The sequence below is a fragment of the Homo sapiens genome, chromosome 9, assembly GCF_000001405.40.
Source record: "Homo sapiens chromosome 9, GRCh38.p14 Primary Assembly".
Lineage (NCBI taxonomy): Eukaryota > Metazoa > Chordata > Mammalia > Primates > Hominidae > Homo > Homo sapiens.
Window position 1 is genome coordinate 78,513,303 of NC_000009.12, and position 8,036 is coordinate 78,521,338.

The window sequence follows — 8,036 nt, forward strand, 5'->3', positions numbered from 1 at the left end:
ATATAAAACATGTCTTTCCTGTTTAAATTTCTTTTTAGCGTTTTAAAGTGTTTTTGGTGTGTGGTTTTCAGGATATCTCACAAGAAACAGGCAACTCAATATCCATTTTATATTGTTTCAATTCCTTTGAAACTTTTAAAATATATGATATATGTGTGCATATATATATATACACACACAGTATGTGTAGATATATACATATATGTATATATATGTAATACTACACAGAAACAATAACATCATTTATTTTAAAAATGTATACATAGTAAAATGTGCAAATCTCAATGTAAAGCCTTCTGAATTTTATATGTGGATATATCCATCTAACCACCACTTAGATGAAGATGAGAAATTTTCATCACTTCAGAACATTCCCATATGCTTTTTCCTATCAATAGTCTCTTCCCTCCCTACCCAAGGTAATGACTTACATTGAATATATTCAACGTAAGGATTTTTAAAAAATCTAGTCTCAGCATCACTTTCTGTGAATTGGTGAGTTTATTCTGTTTACTTTTATTGCAAATACTGATAGAATTTTGATATATTCTACCATTCTATTTTGTGTTCTCTATTTAAAATACGTTTGCTTTGTTTATTTTTAAATTTTTTCCTCCCTTAGGTTGTATTAATCAAATTTAGATTATTTGCTATTTGGGAGTTATATGTACCATTTCATTCTTCTGATGAAAAAATTCTTCTATACATACTTGACTTAATGAAGCTCAAAATTCATCAGTGTCTCTATTTTTCCTTTGAAAACTATAGGCCCTTAGAATAATTTAATTCCAGTATTTTCCCTGTATTATTTGATATTATTTATATCTAGTTTTACTTTATTTAAAAAGGAACTTCCTAGGTTCCTCAGAAAACTAAAAATAAAACTACCATACGACCAAGCAGTCCCACTGCTGGACAATCCAAAAGAAAGAAAATCAGTATTTCCAAGAGATATTTGCACTCCCATGTTTATAGTAGCACAATTCACAGTAGGCAAGATACAGAATCAACCTAAGTGCCCATCAATGGACGCAGAGATAAGAAAATGTGGAATATACACACAATGGAATATTATTCATCCATAAAAAGAATACAATTCTGTCATTTGCAGCAACACAGATGGACCTGGAGATTATTATATTAAGTGAAATAAGTCAGGCACTGAAAGACAAATATCACATGTTCTCTCTCAGTCATAAGTTGGGGCTAAAAAAGTGGATCTTATGGAGGCAGAGAGTAGAATGATGGTTAATAGAATCTAAGAATGGAAGAGGGGTGAGGGAATCATGGGAAGTTGGTTAAGGAGTACAAAAATACAGTTAGAAGGAATAAATTCTAATATTTGATAATACACTAGGAAAATTAGTTAATAATAATTAATTATATATTTTAAAATAGCAAGAAGAATTATAATATTCCCAACACAAAGAAAAGGTGAATATTTGATGTGATGGATATCCCAATTACCATGATTTGATTATTACACACTGTATACAGGTACCAAAATATCATATATACCCTAAAGATATGTGTAACCATTTTATATCAATGAAAAAGGAAACTCCTTGAATTAGTCAATATTATTAATAGTTAACCTAAATTCATACTTTTTTCCTAACTTCTTTACCATTTCCTTGTTCATCATTGCTTCTCACATCCCACTCTAAATGTTTAGTTTCAGTTTTCTTCTTACTCATGTGCATCCTTTCATACTTCTCTCAGAAGACATCTATGGATATAAACTTTCCCATATATTTTGAATAAAAAGTTTTTGTTTTACTTTATTCAAAGGAGAGTTTAGACTTCTAAACGGACAGTGCTTTTTCTCAGGGCTGGGCTAGTGAGAGGAGTATTTATTTATTGTAAAAATCCTAATTTCACAGATGGAGCAGCTTTTCAAGACTCACAGCATTTCAAGGTGATTGTTTCCAGCTCTGGTTAAAATGCATTTAAAGCCATGCTTTTGTCTCTGTGGTGGCCTTAAACAAACAAACAAACTGGCTGTTAGCCTGAGGGCACACATCTTGTCCAGTAGCTCTGTGGGCCACCATAATTCTGTCTTACTTATTTTAGCTTTGAAGATAGCTTTTTTACATTGTGTGAGAAGTGTCTTGCCATGCCCTCATCAACTAGCCTCACCATTCCCTGTTGGTTTATTCTCCTTTTTACTTCACCTGCCCAGCCCCCAAAGGCATTTTAGTTTGTAATGAGCACCACTGGGTATGCCTTCATATACAGAAATACAGGCATTTGGTGATATGTGATTTGCTCATTCAGTTCTCTATCTTTTTGGCACTTACTCTGTGCAAGTCACTATACAGATGTTAGGGATAAGGCAGTGAACAAGAGAGACCCAAATCCCTAATCTTGTATAGTTTGCATTCAAGTTGTATGGAACATACAGTAAGCAGATACATACTTAAGATACATTGTGTTTCAGTCAGTGATGACTACTAAGGAAAACACTAAATCAGGAAAGTGGGATAGAAAGTGCTGACGGGGGTTGGTTGCTATTGTAATAAGTCATCAGGGGAGGCCTTACTGACAGAGGAACATTGGAACAGAGACCTAAAGTGGGAAGCGAACATACCTTGCAAGGACTTGAGGGAGCACCCTCATGGCAGAGGCAACACTAAGTTCAAAGGCTCCAAGGCAGGACCGTGAATGCCAAAATATCTGGAATCAGTGCCAGAGTGAATGGCTGCACATGAGGTCAGAAAGGGGAGCCAAGTCAGGCTGGAAGAAGCTACTGCAAGGCAAAGTGGAAGAAGTATTGGTGCTTCAACATAGGAAAATACACTCTCATGAATTATTTAATAATTCAAATCAAAATTAAGTTTTGTTTGAATCATCAGTAAAACCAGAAAAATACAGTCTTAAAAGATAAAGATCACAGGTGTCTTTTTTTTTTTTTTTTTTTTTTTTTTTTTTTCCCGTGACGGAGTCTCACTCTGTTGTCAGGCTGGAGTGCAGTGGTGCGATCTCAGCTCACTGCAACCTCCACCTCCTGGGTTCAAGCGATTCTCCTGCCTCAGCCTCCCAAGTAGCTGGGACTACAGGTGCATGCCACCACGCTCAGCTAATTTTTATATTTTTAGTAGAGATGCGGTTTCACCATGTTGGCCAGGATGGTCATGATCTCTTGACCTCATGGTCTGCCTGCCTCAGCCTCCTAAAGTGCTGGGATTACAGGCGTGAGCCACGGTGCCTGGCCACATGTGTCTTTATTTAATCTGAACCACTGGATAATTTGAAAAATTGAATAAAAAGGAACTTGAGAGAATTGGTCTTTCTACATCTTATGAAGAGCAACTTGAATAAGTTTATTATAGAGCAGTTTTATTTCATGAGACTGTTGATATGTGGCCCTAAGTGTCTATTATGTTTTATTTCTTTCACTCAACAGGAGAGCTGATTTTCTTGGTGCACTGGCAGCCAAGATTTAATTAATTATTTTTACAATGTACATATAATAATATAATAATTGTTTTACATATTATATTCTGTTATTGTCAGTTACAGTACTAGAGCTCATTCTATTATTTCCTTATAATAGTTGTTCTCTTTTCCACGTCAAACTCTTCTTGGGATTTGAATGTGAAGACCCAGGGAATCTCAGTGATGAGAATTTCTCCTCATTGTTATTATTGATGATATTAATAATGATTTCTAATTATCTCTTATTTAACTGCTATGTAGTAGGTGCTTAACAGAGCATTAAATGCACACACACACAAACATGTACACATACTCCTTATTATTAGAATGGATGAGTAAAAGAATTGGTTTGAATTTACTCTATCATTAGTAAATCCCTGGGCACACATAATGAAAATAAGAAGAAAAAATATGAACTAGTTTAAATAAACCATATGCCAGGTTGGCAAAATCAATCAAAAATGCTTGTTCATTTTTCGTATTTATCTGCTTGGAGAATTGAGAAATATTCACTCTTATTCGTATATTTTTCAAGGTCTTGTTTAGTGCCACTATTTTCTGAAGCTCATCTTAGAAAAGAGCCGGTCAGGACAATTCTGTTCCTTTAAAGTCTTCCCTACCACTGTTGCTGAGAAGAAATGTCAGTGCATCTAATTGGTGCCCAGAAGAAAAAGAGCCTTTAGCAAAGTACAAGTATAACAGTGAAAGCATAAAGAGAACTATGAACTAGTTTCAAAGAAACCATCTATTTCTGCCTGATTCAATTCAGTTAAAATTTATTGAACACCTGCTATGGAGTAATTATAATTTAAATATGGACTAATTCTCAAGTATCTTAAAGCCTTGTTTATTAAACAAGATCTGATTCAAGAAAAAGGAGCAATATAAAACAATGTAAAGTCAGCTGATGACCATGAATGCAAGAGGTTCTAGGTGCCATCAGAAGGGAGATGGCACCTTTATGGGTAGGAGTGCTTGGGGAAACTGAGGGAGGATGTCAACAGGACTCACTGGATGGATGGCATTTTGAAGGCAGAGGGGAAGGAAGGAACAGTCCAACTGAGAGTAAAAATATAAAAAGATTCACAGGTAGGAATGGGCATCATATATTCTGGCAGCATGAAGGAAACCAACGTGGTTGAAGTAAAAGTTCAGGTAATTGAAGGAGGGTGAGGAGATGAAAGTAAGTTTGGCTAGGATACAATTTGAGGAGAGATTTGAATCAAATTGAGGAATTTTGATTTTTGTTAGAAAAAAAAATATTTGAAAAGATTTCAGTGAAAATGGTAGAGTAAGAACTTCCAAAAATTCTCTCCTCCATATAAGCAATGAGAAACCTAGAAAAAATTGCCATATTTAGCTTTCAGAACTCTGGAAATTAACCAAAAGCTTACAGCAACCTAGAGAGCATTTATTCAAGACAATTGGGTGAATCTCAGTAAGAACAGTGATCTTCATGGCATCTTAACTTCCCTTATTCCTATTCACGTCTTTTCAGCTCTGTGGTGGCATTGAAAGAGAGTATCCCACAATCAAGATTAAAACCAGCAGCCTGACAACCACCAGAAGAGACAGAATGGGACTGGACTTCCTCCAAAGCCTCATTCCTGGGGAATTGTTGTTATTTGACTTGTCTGGTGGGTCCCTGGACCTACTTGCAAGGCGTCTTTTATTTGTTTTAACTCAGAGCTCATCCAGTGAAAAAAAATCTTTCTCCAAGGGCATTTATCAAAACTATTTAGAGGCAGTTGTTCTACTTTGACACTGCCTGAGGTGGAGATAGCAGTTGGGGCAAACAATAGGCTAGAGAGTGAGATATCCATAGGGGCTTTGAAATCCTCTGATATATTCCTGGGAATCTATAAGTCCACATACAGATGTAGGCTGTGTGCATGCCAGGAGATTTACACATGATCAGTAAAGACCTGAGAAGTCCGTAAATTCTCACTGCTGGATGACCCTGAGGCTCTGTGTAGGCAGGAAATGAAGGCTAAGGCAGAGTTGTCAATTGTCTGGCTGCATAAAGAAGGCACACTCCAACACAAAGAGTCTTTCAGCCAAGCCTGGAAGACTTATTGGTTACAGGTGTATAAAAAAAAAATCTCTGTCCAGTAATTAGCTTACCAATAAGTTAATTGATCAGAGATATCAGTGGCCACACATGACAGAGAATACAGACTTAACATAATTAGTTCATGACAAGTCACCAAACAGAAACAACAAAAAACAAAATCAAACCATGGGGAGAGTGGTTGAATCAGATATCCAGAACAACCACATTATATAATTTAAAATATAAATTTTCAGAAAAAAATTTAGAGACAGGCAAATAAATAAGAAAGTATAGTCTGTACAAATGAAAAAAATAATCAACAGAAAGTGTCCTTGAGGAAGCCCAGATACTGGATTTATTTAACAAAGACTTTAAATTAGATACTTAAAATATGTTTAAAGAGCTAAAGGAAACTGTCTAAAAAGCTAAAAAAGCATAAGAATAATGTCTTAATAAATAGAGAGTGACAATAAAGAAATATACATTATGTATAAAAAAACTAAATAGAAATTCTAGAGTTGAAAAGTCAAAATAACCGTATAAAATAATTCACATGATTTAAAAGCAAATTTGAGAGAAAATGGCTTCAAGATGACTGACCAGACTTGGTACTCACCTCTTCCACAGAGAGGAACCAAAATAGCAAGTAGATAATCACACTTTGAATAGATTATCTAAGAAAGGACACTGGAATTCAACAGAGAAATGATGGGCAACACTGAAAGCAAAGGAGAGGGAAGTGAGGTAGCATGTTTGGCCAGGATTGGCTGCGAGTCTGTAGAAGCTCCCTAATTTGGGGAAAGGGTAAATGAGAGACCCCCAGAGGTCGACATTCCTGCCACAAACTCCTATAATCTTAGTCACCGGAGAGCCCCTAGGCCCTAGAGGACCTGAAGACTAACATAGGGAGCTGCCTGAAGACCACATGAAGGCATTGGTCTAGAGAGAGAGAGCTCACACTGGGTTTCACAAATCCCTAGTCCTAAGAAGATGCATCATGATGCCATTCTGAGAGCCCAGCCCCACCTGACTGTCCTGCCCTTGGGCTCAACAGCTTCTATATCTCCACATTCCTGGATCCCCATTGCCCATAGCCACTGCTGTTGAGGGGAGTGAATGGAAGCTATGGGCAGCAACACGCCTTGCCCTCCTCCCAACGGAGAGGCAGCTATGTATTTCCACATGCCCTGAGGACAAATTCCACTGTCCACAACTGCGGTTGCTCTTGGCTGCTGTGGGCTGAGGTGTAAGAGAAACTTGAGCCACTCAGCTACCTGCTTACAGCTGCTCCCACTAAAAGCAAGCTTGTCATCTTCTGTGTCAGGCCTGAAGTGCACCTGCTACTGCCCTACCTGAGCATTCTGCCGGTGGCCTGGGGATCACCCCACCCCTCCTGCCACACAACTCTGGGGGGTCTGAGGGCGGGTCCACTGGACCTGCTCCACATTCCCAGTACCTGACTACATTGTCTGGGTGCCTGGAGCTTGCCCAGCTGAGTCCACCAATGTTGGCACTTGAGCATTCCTCCCAGGGTCTGAGATTGGGCCCGTTCACCCTACTGATGCCACCACAGCTGGCATCCATGTGCATGCACCACATGTGGGTCTGGGGACTGGCCCATCCAGCCCATTGCAGCCATCACCAACACCAGTGCAAACAGTTTGGGTCCCAGAGGGTTGTCCTACTCCCACCATTGTTACTTCCATTGCTTATGCCACACCTACTGCCCAGGAGATTGAGAGCTCAACTACCTGCCTGGCCAATTGCTGCCATTCCCAGCATGCAAGCAAGTCTCCTGGAGGCCCAAGAATCAGCCTACCTGAACCTGCTAACACTGTTGCCAGTATACACTGCCCGAGGGCCCAGGGACAGGCACACTTAGTTGACAAGGAACACAAGGATTCTCTAATAAGAGATCCAAATCAGAAAGAATTTTTAAAAATTACAGAAAAAGAATTTAGTTTGACACTAAATAAGCTCAATGAGATAAGAGGATATCGAAAAGCAATACAAAGAAATTAGAAGAACAAATCAGGATATGAATGAGAAATTTATCAAAGAAATAGATATTACAAAAGAGAACCAAACAGAAAATCTGAAGAATCTGTTGAATGAAATACAAAATACCTTCAAAAGCTTTAACAGTAGAATATAGCAGGCAGAAGAAAGACTCTCAAAACTTGAAGACAAGTCTTTTGAAATAACCCAGTCAGACAAAAATAAAAAAGAATGAAAAAGCCTTATGACATATGGGACACCATAAAGCAATCAAATATTCAAATTTTTGATGTCTTAGAAGGCAAAGAGAAAATGAAAGAGAAAACATATTTAACAGAATAGTAGATGAAGACTTCTCAAGTTCACCAAGAAATTTAGATATCTAGATTCAGGAGGCGCAAAGAAAACCAAATAGATACAATTCAATGTCTTCTCCACAGCACATGGCAGTCAAACTGTCAAAAGTCAAAGACAATGGAAAAACTCTAAAACCAGCAAGAGAAAGTCATCTAGTCACTTATAAAAACCTCCCTCCCGACTAACAGCA